This window comes from Homo sapiens, chromosome 18 (assembly GCF_000001405.40).
Source record: "Homo sapiens chromosome 18, GRCh38.p14 Primary Assembly".
Classification (NCBI taxonomy): Eukaryota; Metazoa; Chordata; class Mammalia; order Primates; family Hominidae; genus Homo; species Homo sapiens.
Window position 1 is genome coordinate 12,865,742 of NC_000018.10, and position 16,614 is coordinate 12,882,355.

Sequence of the window (16,614 nt, forward strand, 5' to 3'; positions counted from 1 at the left end):
GCTTGAACCCAGGAGGCGGAGGTTGCAGTGAGCCGAGATAACGCCACTGCACTCCAGCCCCACCCCACTCCCAAAAAAAAAACCAAAAAACAAAAAACTAAAGGTTAAAATGATGTAGCCACTTTAGAAAAACAAATGCTGAACAAAGAGTTAACATATGAACTAGCTATTCTACTCCAAGGCACATACCCAAGAGAAACGAATACATACATTCACACAAAAACTTGGACACATATGTTCATGGTAGCACTTTTAATAATAGCTAAAACAATCATTTGTCCATCAACTGGTGAATGGATAAACAAAATGGTATATATCTATATAATGGAATCTTACTAACTTAGAAGAAGAAACAAAGTAATGATACATACAACACAGATGAAACTTTAAAACATTATGCTAAGTTAAAGAAACCAGCCGGGCGCGGTGGCTCACGCCTGTAACCCTAGCACTTTGGGAGGCCGAGGCAGGTGGATCACGAGGTCAGGAGATCGAGACCATCCTGGCTAACACAGTGAAACCCCATCTCTACTAAAAATACAAAAAATTAGCCGGGTGTGGTGGCGGGCGCCTGTAGTCCCAGCTACTGGGGAGGCTGAGGCAGGAGAATGGCGTGAACCCAGGAGGCGGGGCTTGCAGTGAGCCAAGATTGCACCACTGCACTCCAGCCTAGGCGACAGAGCCAGACTCCTCTCAAAAACAAAACAAAACAAAACAAAACAAAACAAAACAAAACAAAAAAACAGATACAAAAGACTACACATGGTATGAGACCAGGACAGGGAAATCTGGAGACAGAAAGTAGATTAGTGGTTGTCAGGGGTTGGGATGTGGGTGAGAATGGAGAATAACTGTATGTACCCAGTCTCTCCTTGGGGTGTTGAAAATATTCTGAAATTAAGATTTAGTTCCACAGCTGTGAATATACTAAAAACCACTAAACTGTACCTTTTAGGTGAATTTTATGGTATGTGAAATATATCTCGGCCGGGCGTGGTGGCTCATGCCTGTAATCCCAGCACTTTGGGAGGCCGAGGCAAATCACGAGGTCAGGAGATCGAGACCATCCTGGCTAACATGGTGAAACTCCATCTCTACTAAAAAATACAAAAAATTAGCTGGCCATGGTGGTGGGCACCTGTAGTCCCAGCTACTCGGGACACTGAGGCAGGAGAATTGCTTGAACCCAGAAGGCGGTGGTTGCAGTGAGCCGAGATCGCGCCACTCACTGCATTCCAGCCTGGGTGACAGAGCAAGATTGTCTCCAAAAAACAAAAAACAAACAAACAAAAAAAAAAAACAAAAACACTCTGGGCCAAGGCAGGAGGATCATTTGAGGCCAGGAGTTCAAGACCAGCCTGGGCAACATGGTGAAACCACGTATCTACAAAAAATAAAAATAAAAATAAACACATAATAAATAAAAATAAAGCCAAGCGTAGTGATGCGTGCCTGCAGTCCCAGCTACTTGGGAGGCAAAGCTGGGAGGATCACTTGAGCCCAGGAGGTCAAGGCTGCAGTGAGCAGTGACTGTACCACTGCACTCCAGCCTGGGTGACAAAGTGAGAACCTGTCTCAATAAATAAATAAATAAATAAATAAATGAAATAAAAATGGAACTCCTGTATTAAGGGCATATTTTGCCAATATTTCTCAAGAAAGACTGAAAGTGAGGTTTTGCCTCACACTCAACAGTATCAGTACTTTTTTTTTTGTCCTCAGATGTTGTCAAGATTTTTCTGTATTGCTTACTCTTTCAGATGTACCTCAAATTTAAACTTTCTTTTGGCTGACTTCAAAAAAAATACATTATAGATATGTGCCAAGTCTTCATCGGAACTGGGTTAGCTTCTCCATTTGAGTCTTCCTTGTCGCTTAATAGAGTTTCGCTTCAGTCTCCTCTGTTCCCTTTCAGGAATTTCTATCACAGACTTGGGGAAGTGCTCTCTCCTAACGCTCATTTCGCACACCTCTTTCCTGAGTTCTGAGAGATTTTTCTCAAGCCACCTCAGTGTTCTGCATTATCTACTCTGCTACTTGGTACTGAACATTCTATTTTAACAATTGTGTGTTATAACTTTAAAAACTCTTTACTGTTCTCAGTTTCTTTTCTTTTCTCCACCTGCTCTTGTATTTGGACACCTGAATTACAGCTGCCTCTACCTCATACTATTTTGCATGCCCTCAATGATCTTGGGGTGAATTTTTCGTTTGTCTAACAACATATGTTTGGTCATCTTTACAGAAAGTGAATACACACATCAGTTCTTAACCCACACCTGTGTGGCCGCTTACACTGTTCACTATCAACTCCTTAAGTCTCAAATATGTGGGAAAGACCCTTCTCTAGTGTGAAGTAATCACAAAGGCTTGTTCTTACCACTGCGCTTTGGTCACTTCAATGATAAATCAGAAAACAACAACAAAAGCTTCCAGTGCATGGGATTACAAGACCTTAATAGTCCTGGGAAATTACACTTATTTGTCATAGTTGTTGTTTTTTGTTTTTTGTTTTTTTTTGAGATTGAGTCTCACTCTGTCTGGACTGACTGGAGAGACTGGAGTGAAGTGGCGCCATCTCAGCTCACTGTAACCTCCGCCTCCCGGGTTCAAGTGAATTCTCCTGCCTCAGCCTCCCAAGTGACTGGGATAACAGGTGCACATCACCATGCCTGGCTAATTTTTGTATTTTTTAGTAGAGACAGGGTCTCACCATGTTAGCCAGGCTTGTCTTGAACTACTGACCTCAGGTGATCCGCCCGCCTTGGCCTCCCAAAGTGCTGGGATTACAGGCGTGAGCCATCACCTTCATTTGTCATAGTTTTCTACTGCCTTTCTTGCTGTCAATTTTTACCTCTATTTACACAATTATGCCTAACAACTCTTTCTTTTTAAAAACTTCAAACTTCAGGCCGGGCGTGGTGGCTCACGTTTGTAATTCCAGCACTTTGGGAGGCTGAGGCGGGCGGATCACGAGTTCAGGGAGATTGAGACCAGGTGATCTGCCCGCTTCAGCCTCCCCAAGTGCTGGGATTACAGGCGTGAGCTACCACACCCAGCTCCTGATTTGTTTTAACAAGTGAAGCTATAAAACAAAGGCTCATATTCTGAATTTTAAAGTTTTAAGGCTGGGTGCGGTGGCTCACGCCTGTAATCCCAACACTTTGCGGGGCCCAGGCAGGCGGATCACTTGACATTAGGAGTTTGAGACCAGCCTTGCCAACATGGCAAAACCCTGTCTCTACTAAAAGTACAAAAACTAGCTGGGCATAGTGGCACGTACCTGTAATCCCAGCTACTCGGGAGGCTGAGGCAGGAGAATCGCTTGAACTCCGGAGGCAGAGGTTACGGTGAGCCGAGAACACACCACTACACCCCAGCCTGGGAAAAAGAGAGACGCCGTCTCAAAAAAATAAACAAGTAAAATTTTAATTTTATTTTACTTATATTTTTGAGACAAAGTCTTGCCTTGTCACTCAGGCTGGAATGCAGTGGTGTGATCACAGCTCACTGCAGCTTTGACTTCAGGGGCTCAAGTGATCCCCCCACCTCAGCCTCCCAAGTAGGTGGGACTGCAGGCACACCACCATGCCTGGCTAATTTTTTATTTTTATTTGCTATGTTGCTTAGACTGGTCTCAAACTCCTGGTCTCAAGCAATCTGCCTGCCTCGGCCTTCCAAAGCGCTGGTATCACAGGCGTGAGCCATGGCGCCTGGTTTTGAAGTTTTTATTTTAAAAATCTATATTACTGCAACTTAATTTCCATCATTATCGGGGTGAAATAGTTATAATATTTTATTAAATAATGTCAAATAATATTTTTAGTATTTCGTACATAGCTTTGTTCTATGTATGGCATACAGAAAACATTACATCGTTAGACCAAATTCTCCCTCGAACTGCTACGATGTAGTAGCAAATAAGAACTTAGGAAATTGAAAAAGAATAATCTTCTGTTAAATTTTAATTTTATAAGGTAGGACCTTAAGATAATCCCAAATTGATAATGAGTTTCTCCTTATGGGCTAACATACCTAAGTTTCTTTCTTTATACTTTAGGTCTCTAAGTGAATCCTAAATTATATGATGAAAAGTGTTCCCTTTGTTAGTCAGATGTTTGTGCATATACTCTCTACAAAGATGCTCAGAAAAGGACACAGTGAAGTATGAAGAATCTTGCATACTTTGAAACACCATTACTTTAGGATGGTAAAATAACCACTTACTTATAGCCCTTAATATGCCTGCCACTGGCTGGGGAGAGAAGATCCCTGGTGGAGTAAGTTCTTTTCTTCACTACATTTTTTTTTCTTTGAGAAGCTCTCTTTGAGGAAGAGAGTTTAGAGACTAAAACAGCTCACTGTCACTGAACCCTACTGTGTGTCAGGCATGTGCTATGTGCTTTTATGTGTGTTATCTAAGAGGTGGTTACAAATGAGAAAACAGACTCAACTTCCAAGATTTATACTGCAGTTAGGTAGCAGATACAGATAGGAATCCAGTACTTAACTTTAGCATATATATATATATGTATATATATACATATACATATATATGTGTATATATACATATATATGTGTATATATATGTATATATATACATATATATGTGTATATATATGTGTATATATACATATATATACGTATATATGTATATATACACGTATATATATGTATATATATACGTATATATATATGTGTATATATATATATATATATATAGAGAGAGAGAGAGAGAGAGAGAGAGAGAGAGAGAGAAAAGCGTGTTGTTTTTTTTTTTTTTTTGAGACAGAGTTTCACTCTGTTGCCCAGGCTGGAGTGCAGTGGCGCGATCTTGGCTTACTGCAAGCTCCACCTCCCAGGTTTACACCATTCTCCTGCCTCAGCCTCCCGAGCAGCTGGGACTACAGGCGCCCGCAACCACGCCCGGCTACTTTTTTTGTGTTTTTAGTAGAGACGGGGTTTCACCGTGTTAGCCAGGATGGTCTCGATCTCCTGACCTCATGATCCGCCCACCTCGGCCTCCCAAAGTGCTGAGATTACAGGAGTGAGCCACCGCGCCCGGCAGCACATACATATTTTTTTACTTATATTTACATATATTTATATACATATGCTCCCTATGTATACATGGATTACATGGACTTGGCAAAAATTAAACCGTACAAAAGGGTATATAGTGAAAAAGTTAAGTCACATTCTCCTCTCCCTCAATCCTTTCCCTTAGGTGATAACTGTAACCAGTGCCTTGTATATTTTCCGAGACATTCTATCCATATATAAGCCAGACTGCCTGTCTGTCTTCCTCCATCCAAGTATCCATCCCACCCTCACAAAACAGATATTAGCATACTGTTTTGCACTTTGATTTTTCACTTAGTATATATTAAAAGTACTTCCATATAGATAATGAGTTCTTTTTAACAATTTAATAGTATTCATCACTTAGCCAGTCATCTATAATGGGACACATAGGTTATTTCTAGGTTTTAGCTGTTATAAATAATGCTGCTATGAATAACCTTTCAAAGAAGCTATATCAATGTATACTGTCACCAATAATATAAGAAAGTGCCTGAGCTTCACCTACACAATTATATTAATGAACTTTTTCATCTTTGTCTGATAGGTGAAAAATGGTATTATTATAGTCATAATTTGAAATTGTTATTATTGTGAAGGTGAACAGCTTTACCTGTTTTTAAAAGCCATCTGTATTTCCGCTCTCTTTTTGATATGTAGTTCTTTACATATTAAGAAAGTTTAGTTTTTGTTATATATTGAAAATATTTAAAATTTTTTATCTTTTGACCTTTATGGTATTTATGTCAAAAATTTAAATTTTTATGAAATCAAACTTAAACCTTTTTTCTCTAGGTTTCTGTGACATGGCATTAAAAAATCCTTTTTCACTCTGTTGATTACAAAAAATTTTCTCCATTGTTTTCTTATATAATTTTATGGTTTCATTTCTTTTATGTTTAGATTATTGCCCAACCGGGACTTTACTGTAGTATAAAGAATGAGGCAGGGCAGGCATGTTGGCTCACATGTATAATCCCAGCTCTCTGAGAGGTGGGCTGATCACTTGAAGTCAGGAGTTCAAGACCAGCCTGGCCAACATGGGGAAACCCTGTCTCTACTAAAAATACAACAATTAGCTGGGCGTGGTGGTGCACGCCTGTAATCCCAGCTACTGAGGAGGCTGAGGCAGGAGAATCGCTTGAACTCAGCATGCAGAGGTTGCAGTAAGCCGAGATCGTGCCGTAGCATTCCAGCCTGGGGCCACAGAGCAAGACTCTGTCTCAAAAAAAAAACAAAAAAACAAAAAAACAAAAACAAATAAAAAACCCACAAAAAACATAGAACAGAAGCAGTTCCCACTGTTACGAAGTTACTCCAACTTTCTAGGGCTACCCTGATTGATGTACCAGGTCCTTTACTGGGACTAGAGGGGTACAAACTCTAGGAATCCTGTAGCCTTACCTCAAACCACAGGAAGAATTCCTAGAAGTACTATGAAGTAAACTGTAATGAGAAATTGATAGCTTTCAGACTATAAAACCGTTCAAATATAGTGAAAGAAGAAATAAAATAATTCAGTATCAGATTTTCCTTAGGGGAATGAAAGCAGTTTGAAAAAAGGTTATAAATGATCAGTGACACGAACCAAATGAAACTGACAGAGCAAACGGCATATTAAATCAGACATACTGGATTTGAAAAGTTATTCATTGCATTCCCTTCCTCCATTCCTCTCGTTTGAAAAGTATCCAACCTTGAGCCAGTTTCTTTGTTTTGAGACAAACAGTGCTGGGATTACAGGTGTAAGCCACCAGCCCGGCCCCTGAAATCAGTTTCTTGACCACAATTTCTTATCCTAGGGATCACCAGGTGGGCCTATGAACCTACTAAAACCACATGCTAAGTTTGCGGGGGATTGTATTTGTGCGGACATTTCCTCTCATAAACATGTTTCATCTTAAAGGTGTCTAAAGGTATCTATGATCTTTAAAAGCAAGGATTTCACTGTTAAGTCAAAACAACTTCTTGAACCATTAGTAGTACTGTACCGTACATAGAACATTAAATCGGCACAACATTTAAATACATTTAAAATGGCATTACATTCATTCTTAAAAGCTATTTCAGATAATGGCACTGCAGGGCAATGCTATTCCAATTAAGAATGTAACAGGCTGGACGCGGTGGCTCACGCCTGTAATCCCAGCAATTTGGGAGGCCAAGGTGGGTGGATCACCTGAGGTCAGGAGTTCAAGACTGGCCCAGCCAACACAGCGAAACCCCATCTCTACTAAAAATACAAAAATTAGCTGGGTGTGGTGGCGCATGCCTGTAGTCCCTGCTACTTGGGAGGCTGAGGCAGGAGAATCACTTGAACCAGGGAGGTGGAGGTTGCAGTGAGCCAAGATCGTGCCACTGCACTCCAGCCTGGTTGACAGAGTAAGACTCCGTCTCAAGAAAAAAAAAAAAAAGCCTCTCCCTCTCCCTCTGCCTCCTCTCCCTCTCCCCACGGTCTCCGTCTCCCCACGGTCTCCCTCTCCCTCTCTTTCCACAGTCTCCCTCTGATGCCGAGCCGAAGCTGGACTGTACTGCTGCCATCTCGGCTCACTGCAACCTCCCTGCCTGATTCTCCTGCCTCAGCCTGCAGAGTGCCTGCGAGTGCAGGTGCGCGCCGCCATGCCTGACTGGTTTTCGTATTTTTTTGGGGGAGACGGGGTTTCGCTGTGTTGGCCGGGCTGGCCTCCAGCTCCTAACCGCGAGTGATCCGCCAGCCTCGGCCTCCGGAGGTGCCGGGATTGCAGACGGTGTCTGGTTCACTCAGTGCTCAATGGTGCCCAGGCTGGAGTGCAGTGGCGTGATCTCGGCTCGCTACAACCTCCACCTCCCAGCCGCCTGCCTTGGCCTCCCAAAGTGCCCAGAGTGCAGCCTCTGCCTGGCCGCCACCCCGTCTAGGAAGTGAGGAGCGTCTCTGCCTGGCCACCCATCGTCTGGGATGTTAGGAGCCCCTCTGCCTGGCTGCCCAGTCTGGAAAGTGATGAGCATCTCTGCCCGGCCGCCATCCCATCTAGGAAGTGAGGAGCGTCTCTGCCCGGCTGCCCATCGTCTGAGATGTGGGGAGTGCCTTTGCCCCGCCGCCCCGTCTGGGATGTGAGGAGCGCCTCTGCCCGGTCGCGACCCCGTCTGGGAGGTGAGGAGCGTCTCTGCCCAGCCGCCCCATCTGAGAAGGGAGGAGACCCTCCACCTGGCAACCGCCCCGTCTGAGAAGTGAGGAGACCCTCCGCCCGGCAGCCGCCCCGTCTGAGAAGTGAGGAGCCCCTCCGCCCGGCAGCCACCCTGTCTGGGAAGTGAGGAGCGTCTCCACCTGGCAGCCGCCCCGTCCAGGAGGGAGGTGGGGGTCAGCCCCCGCCAGGCGAGCCGCCCCATCTGGGAGGGAGGTTGGGGGGTCAGCCCCCCGCCCGGCCAGCCGCCCCGTCCGGGAGGGAGGTGGGGGGTTCAGCCCCCCGCCCGGCCAGCCGCCCCGTCCGGGAGGGAGGTGGGGGGGTCAGCCCCCCGCTTGGCCAGCCGCCCCGTCTGGGAGGTGAGGGGCGCCTCTGCCCGGCCGCCCCTACTGGGAAGTGAGGAGCCCCTTCCGGGAGGGAGGTGGGGGGATCAGCCCCCGCCCGGCCTGCCGCCTCGTCCGGGAGGTGAGGGGCGCCTCTGCCCGGCCGCCCCTACTGGGAAGTGAGGAGCCCCTCTGCCCGGCCAGCCGCCCCGTCCGGGAGGAAGGTGGGGGGGGGTCAGCTCCCCGCCCGGCCAGCCGCCCCGTCCGGGAGGGAGGTGGGGGGTTCAGCCCCCCGCCCGGCCAGCCGCCCCGTCCGGGAGGGAGGTGGGGGGGTCAGCCCCCCGCCCGGCCAGCCGCCCCGTCCGGGAGGGAGGTGGGGGGGTCAACCCCTCGCCCGGCCAGCCGCCCCACCCGGGAGGTGAGGGGCGCCTCTGCCCGGCCGCCCCTACTGGGAAGTGAGGAGCCCCTCTGCCCGGCCACCACCCTGTCTGGGAGGTGTGCCCAACAGCTCATTGAGAACAGGCCATGATGACAATGGTGGTTTTGTGGAATAGAAAGCAGGGAAAGGTGGGGAAAAGATTGAGAAATCGGATGGTTGCCGTGTCTGTGTGGAAAGAAGTAGACATGGGAGACTTTTCATTTTGTTCTGTACTAAGAAAAATTCTTCTGCCTTGGGATCCTGTTGATCTGTGACCTTACCCCCCAACCCTGTGCTCTCTGAAACATGTGCTGTGTCCACTCAGGGTTAAATGGATTAAGGGCAGTGCAAGATGTGCTTTGTTAAACAGATGCTTGAAGGCAGCATGCTCGTTAACAGTCATCACCACTCCCTAATCTCAAGTACCCAGGGACACAAACACTGCGGAAGGCCTCAGGGTCCTCTGCCTAGGAAAACCAGAGACCTTTGTTCACTTGTTTATCTGCTGACCTTCCCTTCACTATTGTCCTATGACCCTGCCAAATCCCTCTCTGTGAGAAACACCCAAGAATGATCAATAAAAATAAAAATTAAAAAAAAAAAAAGCATAGAACAGAAAAGTTTAGTTTTCTTCTACTCAGGAAAGTGAGAGCTTATATTCTTTAAAGTTAGCCTGTGGAAATGTATCTCTTCCTCAGTTATCAGCTGCTATGTCTTAAATTTTACATGCTAAACTGATTGAGGATTTAGTATATGGCTAATCACTCTTATCCAAAGTAAGGGTGGTATTATTAAAAGTTCAGTTTATTAGTTGGTTTAAATATCCTCTGACTCTCAACAGCTTTCCATTAAGAAAAAACTACCTTAATGGGGCATTAAGTTAAGGAATAGAGAGTAGAGAATCTAGATGAGGATTTCCAAGGGAAACAAATCATACGTAACGTTTATTCAAGAAAGTGAAGAGCACACTATGTTAATTTTAATTTCGCGTACCCAGACCTTATCTGTCCATCTCTCTGGTTTATCTGGACTATTTGGAGACCAAAGGGAAGAAGGGGAGTAGAGAGTGGACAGGTAAGAGGACAAAGACAAGGTAGCTAAAAGAACAGCAGGGGACTGAGAGAGCTGTAACAGTTCTCCAACTGGGAATCAGAAATTCTCTGCAGAGTAACTATCTGGAAAAAGTAAAAAGGGCTTTTAAGATTCTGGTTGGCCAAGCACTGTGGCTCCCCAGCATTATGGAAGGGTGAAGCCGGAAGATCGCTTTAGCCCGGGAGTTCGAGACCAGTCTGGACAACATGGTGAGAACCTGTCTCTACAAAACATAAAAAATTAGCCAAGCATGGTGGCGTGCATCTGTGCAGTGAGCCGTGATCTCATCACTGCACTCCAGTCTGGGTGACAGAGTGAGACCCTGTCTCAAAAAACAAAACAAAACAAAATTCTGGTTAAGGGCTGGGCATGGTGGCTCATGCCTGTAATCTCGCCACTTCGGGAAGCCAAGGTGAGCAGACCACTTGAGGCCGGGAGTTCAAGACCAGACCAGCCTGGCCAACAAGAACAACAACAAAAAGAAGAAGAAGAAGAAGAAATTTGTCAGGCGTGGTGGTGTGTGCCTGTAGTCCCAGCTTCTCGGGAGGCTGAGGCAAAGGACCACTTGAGCCAGGAGTTTTGAGTCTGCAGTGACCTACGATCGTGCCACTGCACTCCAGCCTGGGTGACGGAATGAGACCCCTTCTCAAGAAAAAAAGAAGATTCTGGTTAAAATCAAGAAATCAAAAAAGAGGCAACTAGAAAAGCTAGGAGACAAACGCAACTATCTGGATTTCCGTAATTATAGATATCAGTAATCTATAAACACATGTCAAAGGCAAAACAATATGATTTCTAGGTATACATTCCCCATTGGGGCACCCATCCCAAGGCTGCTTTCCCTTCAAGCAGTGGTCTTTACCTTTTGAGGGATCACAGACAAATCCACTAAGAAACTGACAAAAGCTACAGAATCACCTAGAAACGAAATACCTGGGAACACACGTACATAAAATTTAGCAGTTTCAGGAGATTTGCAAATACCTTTCAAGTCTGATCCCTGGATCCCAGACACTGTTTTAAAGGCCTCAAGTCCCAAAATGACCCTACCTATTATAACACATCCACTCCCTCCTAGCCATCAAAATTAAGACGATTCCCTCTGTGCCACTGATCTCAAATAGATCATAAGAAGAAAGCACTACAGGTAGTCACATGGGTAAATTAGGGCAGTGCTGAAACGAGAATCAGAAGGACTGGATTTGAGTCCCAGTTATGACACTAGCAGATATTGTAACATCAGATAAGTCACAACACTGTATTGGCCCAGTGTTTCCTCAGCCATAAATGAGGGGTTTGGAATAAACTAAGGTGCTGACATTTTAAAAGGGAACAGTTTTCCTGTGTTTACTGAATATTTACTGAGCATCTAACATGTTTCAGGTCCCGTAGGTAGGTGGTGGGAAAACAAAGAAAAAAAAAGACCACCCTCAAGGAGCTACACAGAACAGACAAGTAGACAGTTACAAAACAATGTGGTTCATATTCTAATAAAAGAATATAGAGAACTAAGAAATGAGAGAAGGGGGAGCATTTAACTTTGCCCAAGGAGACTACGGTCTAGTCTTGAAGATGTTTCCCAAATAGATATGGTAGGCATGGAGTATATCCAACACATGAAGACTCCAAGGTGTGAGAGAGTAGCCAATCTTCAAGGGAATTCAGAGTTTGTGCAACCATGTAAAAGCACTGAGATTAGACAGCAGGCAGGAGAATGTGTAACTAGTAGGCAAGGGAAGTGTTTTAGAATAAGACAGCTTTGATTCACCTGCCTAACTGGCTGCCCCGCTGTAAGTATGAGAAGAACAGTGTGCACTTGATATCTGACTTCTAAAAATTAGCTGACTCACAAATGGTAAAAATTGTTCTCTAGCAATATTTGAACTACAAATTTCTAATAAAGAAAAATGGCGGCCAGGCGCAGTGGCTCATGCCTATAATCCCAGCACTTTGGGAGGCCGAGGCAGGTGGATCACAAAGTCAGGAGATCAAGACCATCCTGGCTAACACGGTCAAACCCCGTCTCTACTAAAAATACAAAAAATTAGCCTGGCGTGGTGGCGGGCGCCTGTAGTGTTGGCGGGCGCCTGTAGTCCCAGCTACTCAGAAGGCTGAGGCAGGAGAATGGCGTGAACCTGGGAGGCAGAGCTTGCAGCGAGCCGAGATGACGCCACTGCACTCCAGCCTGGGCAACAGAGCAAGACTGTCTCAAAAAAAGAAAAAGAAAAAAGAAAAATGGCCAGGCACAGTGGCTCATGCTTGTAATCCTAAGCCTTTGGAAGGCTGAGGTGGACAGATTGCTTGAACTCAGGAGTTGAAGACCAGCCTGGGCAAAATAGTTAAACCCTGTCTCTACAAAAAATACAAAAAAATTAGCCAGGCCCAGCTACGTGGGGGACTGAGGCAGGAGGATGTCTAAAGCCCAAGAGGTCGAGACTGCAGTGAGCTGAGATCACGCCACTGCACTCCAGACTGGGTGACAAAGTGAGACCCAGTCTCAAAAAGAAAAGAAAGAAAAAGAAAAAAAAAGAAAGAAAAAGGAAAAAAAGAAAGAAAAAGAAAAATGTGGCTGGGCGTGGTGGCTCACACCTGTAATCCCAGCAGCACTTTGGGAGGCCGAGGCAGGTGGATCACCTGAGGTCAGGAGTTCAAGACCAGCCTGACAAACATGGTGAAACCCCGTTTCTACTAAAAATACAAAAATTAGCTGGGCGTGCTGGTGGGCACCTGTAATCCCAGCTACTCGGGAGGCTGAGGCAGTAGAACTGCTTGAACCTGGGGGGAGCAGAGGTTGCAGTGAGCTGAGATCACACTACTGCACTCCAGCCTGGGGGACAGAGCAAGACTTGGTTTCAAAAAAAGAAAAATGAAGTCAGTCAGGAGTTCCATTGTTTATAAACCCTAATTAATCAACCAATTTCCAAGAGGCTGAGGTGAGAGGCTCACCTGAGCCCAGGAGTTTAAGGTTGCAGTGAGCTATGATTGCACCACTGCACTTGTACTCCAGACTGGGCAACAGAGTGAGAACTCTTTAAAAAAGAAAGGAATTTAAAAATAAATAAGCCAAATTCCTTCTGAGCCATCACTTCTTAGAAACAACCCATAACATAGCTTTTGCGATTCCCCAGTTTTAGTCTTTTCCTCAGTAGGCACACAGACTCCATTCCTTCTCTCTGCCTTTCTCAAAGCTCAGCCTGATGAAGACAGCAATCAGCAGTGACAAAAGGAAAAGCCAAAAAGGGATCATGAACATTACTCAAAAAGTCAGAATTAACCTCACACAATCAGACCAAATTAAACTTTTCCAACTGCACCCTTTGTTTTGCTGTTCTTGTTTTAGAGACAGGATCTCACTCTGTCACCTAGTCTGTAGTGCAGTGGCACAATTATGGCTCACTGCAGCCCTAACCTCCTGACCTCAAGTGATCCTCCCACCTCAGCCTCCCAAAGCGCTGGGATTACAGGGATGAGCCACCGCCTGGCCAGCACTCTTTCACGATCAATTCTTCCACCTGTGTGCTCTTGGTCCCATTGACTCTTGCTTTCTAAGATTTCTGGCTCCAACAATCATCCCTTCTATTTCAACCTCCACCTCTCTCTTTAGGTTCATCCCTGCAATCACATAAATATATCAAGTTGCCCTTTCCTCGTAAAAAGTCATTCATTCAGCACATATTTTCAAGTGCTTACTAAGCACCTGATACTGTGCAAAGCACTGGCAGTGCCTTCATGAAACTCTGAAGAAGTAATAAAAAATATAAACTCAGATTAACAGAGTCTGTTCTGCTCCAACCCAATAATTCATTTCTAAGAAACCTCCTATTATCAAACTCATGAAATAAAAGACACTTTTCAAAAGGAGCAAAAAGGAATAAGGGACCAGAGTTCCAGACTCAAAATACTAAATTCATTTTTCCCGCTAGAATTTCAACAAGGTATCAAGTTCTCCTACCACTAAGCAAGTCCAGCTTTTAGTTGTACTCAGTTTTTGCTCAAGAGCAAAGCCTTTCTTTTCCCAGCTCCATGAGCATTACCAAAAAAAGCACAACTCTTCAAAAACATTATCAGAAACATCACCCACTGCTGTGCTAAACAAAGCAGAAAGCCACCTTAAACACTTTTTTCCTACTCAAGCTGTGTTACTTTCAAGATAGTGGTTTGCTTAATGCAAATTGTGTTCCCGAAATCATTTGCTGCTGTATGACATCCAATTCCCGCTATGAAAGGGGAAGTCTTGGGATGCTAAAGAAGTACGCAACAGGGGCTCATACCCAGCATGGGCAGGTCAAGAAGGCCTGCCAAGGAAGTGAGACTTCAGGGATGAGTAGGAGGCAGTTTAAGCAAGAAAGGAAAGAGAAGGGGGGAAAGTTGTGCCAAGGCAAAGAGAACAACATTTACAAACGCCCTAAGGGGAGAATGGACACACACACTTCCAAGAATACAACACAGTGGAAAAGAGGGAGGAAAGTGATAGGGGAAATCAAGCAAGAGACACAGGCCATGAGGTCTTGTGAGCCGGAGGAGGGGCTGAATTTACACTGTGAGCAACGGAAAGCCGTTCAAGGGTTTAAGTGAGAAGTCACACAATCTTGCTTCATTTTAGCTACCTCTCCCCACTTCTTCAAGTTGGGCTTCTAAAAAGAGCAGTGTACACTTGGTAGTTTGCATTTCCTCCTACCTTCTCTCCTGAACTCCAGGTATCTGTCTTGTGTAGTCCGCTGACACAACTCCCTTTAAGGTATCTGTTAATCTAGCTGCTCAATGTCATGGCCCTCTCAGGCTGGCCCTTACCTGTCAGGTGGCCCTGCTCACCCTCAACTCCCTCCACTGCTTTCCTCCCCACTTCTGTGGTTGTTCCTCACCAGTCTTTTTTGCAAGTTCCTCTTTCTCCACCCATCCTTTTAAATGTTGTCTGTCAAGATTCTGTCCTTGGCCTTTGATATTTCCAAACGCTCTGTATCTTCCCTAGATGATCTCATCAATGTCTAAGACCTCAAATATCACCCATGTGTTCATGATTTCCAAAATCACATTTACTCAGACCCTCTCTCCCGAACTCCAAATTTATACATTCAACTAGCTTCATTTCAGTGTCTCGCAGGTACCTCAAACAGAATTAAAGTTTCAAAACCAAACTTGTACATAACGTATACCCCTTTACCATTTCATTTCAAATCTGTATCTCCCCTCCATCCCTCCTGCCACTGCCTAACAGAAGCTCATCATGTCTCTTCAGGTTTACTCCAACCGACTACTGCCCTGTGCTGCGTGCCTACACTTTCCTCATCCAGTCTGCTAGCAGTCAGAACGATCTTGCTAACAAGTAAATATGATCAGCCCAGAGCAGTGGCTCATGCCTGTAATCCCAGCACTTTGAGAGGCCGAGGCAGGCGGATCACCTGAGGTCAGGAGTTCGAGACCAGCCTGGCCAACATGTCGAAACCCTGTCTCTACTAAAAGTACAAAAAAATCAACCGGGCATGGTGGTGTGTGCCTGTAATTTCAACTACGCAGGAGGCTGAGGTAAGTGAATCACTTGAACCCAGGAGGCAGAGGTTGCAGTGAGCTGACGTCGCACCACTGCACTCCAGCCTGGGCGACAGAGCGGGACTCTGTCAAAAAAAAAAGAAGCAAATATGATCATGGTATTTCCAGACTTACAATTCCACAATGAGTTCCTATTAAACAGCTCAAATTCCTTAGTCTGATCTAGGCTCTGCCTTACTCTCCAGCATCTCAACTTCACACCAGTCTCCAGGCTAAACTGTGGGTGGTTCTCTCAGCATTCCCTCAGTGCCTTTGTGCACTCCCTCCTTGCTGGAACAGTAATTCTCTTCACCTCCCTTGTCCTCTTCCCCTGGCCAATGTCTTTCAAGACTTAGGTGAGGTCCTCCCTCCCTCGAGAAGCTTCACCAGAACTCCCATGTGTACCCCTTTTTGGGAAATACAGGACTCCTAGGTAACTCAACTCCACAAGACCCTGTGCTTCAAGCTAGCTTTACATGTATCACTTTAACGTTTTCATCAGCTTACCTATTTACAGGGCTGCATCCTTAAAAACTGGGACTCCTGTCTTTTAACAAGAATCCTCAGTGTCTAACACTAGCACATAACAAGCATGTTATGAACGAATGAATGAAAATATGGAACTACAATGAGGCCCCAAAAGAATAAGCCCTAGAGTGAGCACCTCGAGGGTAGGAAACTTGCCAGGAGCATTCTCTGCTGAATCCCCAAGGCCAGGAGCAAAAGCTGCAACTCCACTGGGGGTCCGGGCATATTTGTGGAATGGCTGAATGGATGTTCTAAGGCCACAGGAGAACACATAGCTCAAACTTCCTGACTTGCTTTCCATTACTAACTTTCTTGGTTTGTGACCTACTTTTACTGTAACACCAGTGTGCATGCCATGGTTTCTACTGACCAAACTAATGGTCTTGTTTTCAACTAGGAAAAAATAATATGAGCATTGACCAACCAAGGAAACTACAGGATTCCTCGGTAAGAATCTATAGAAGGATTTCCTTATCTTTTTGAA

The 16,614-nt window shown here is 45.2% G+C and overlaps 1 protein-coding gene across 6 annotated transcripts in view, besides 4 other annotated features; it reads right to left on the minus strand.

The window, feature by feature from the left end:
- The window catches only part of PTPN2 (protein tyrosine phosphatase non-receptor type 2), a 98,760-nt gene that overhangs the window by 80,264 nt on the left and 1,882 nt on the right, over positions 1 to 16,614 (minus strand). The window lies entirely within an intron of this gene.
- Positions 7,979 to 8,590: an enhancer, noted in NCBI's record as "H3K27ac-H3K4me1 hESC enhancer chr18:12873719-12874330 (GRCh37/hg19 assembly coordinates)". NCBI's record gives its function as "activates a minimal SCP1, AML or CMV promoter by ChIP-STARR-seq in naive H9 embryonic stem cells {active_cell/tissue: H9 hESC(naive)}" and the evidence as "EXISTENCE:reporter gene assay evidence [ECO:0000049][PMID:30033119]".
- Positions 9,818 to 10,430: an enhancer, noted in NCBI's record as "NANOG-H3K27ac-H3K4me1 hESC enhancer chr18:12875558-12876170 (GRCh37/hg19 assembly coordinates)". NCBI's record gives its function as "activates a minimal SCP1, AML or CMV promoter by ChIP-STARR-seq in naive H9 embryonic stem cells {active_cell/tissue: H9 hESC(naive)}" and the evidence as "EXISTENCE:reporter gene assay evidence [ECO:0000049][PMID:30033119]".
- Positions 12,302 to 12,511: a silencer, noted in NCBI's record as "fragment chr18:12878042-12878251 (GRCh37/hg19 assembly coordinates)". NCBI's record gives its function as "represses an EF-1alpha promoter that drives an FKBP-Casp9 reporter gene in an ReSE screen in K562 erythroleukemia cells {active_cell/tissue: K562}" and the evidence as "EXISTENCE:reporter gene assay evidence [ECO:0000049][PMID:32094911]".
- Positions 14,532 to 14,591: an enhancer, noted in NCBI's record as "active region_13111". NCBI's record gives its function as "activates an Ori minimal core promoter by ATAC-STARR-seq in GM12878 lymphoblastoid cells {active_cell/tissue: GM12878}" and the evidence as "EXISTENCE:reporter gene assay evidence [ECO:0000049][PMID:35858748]".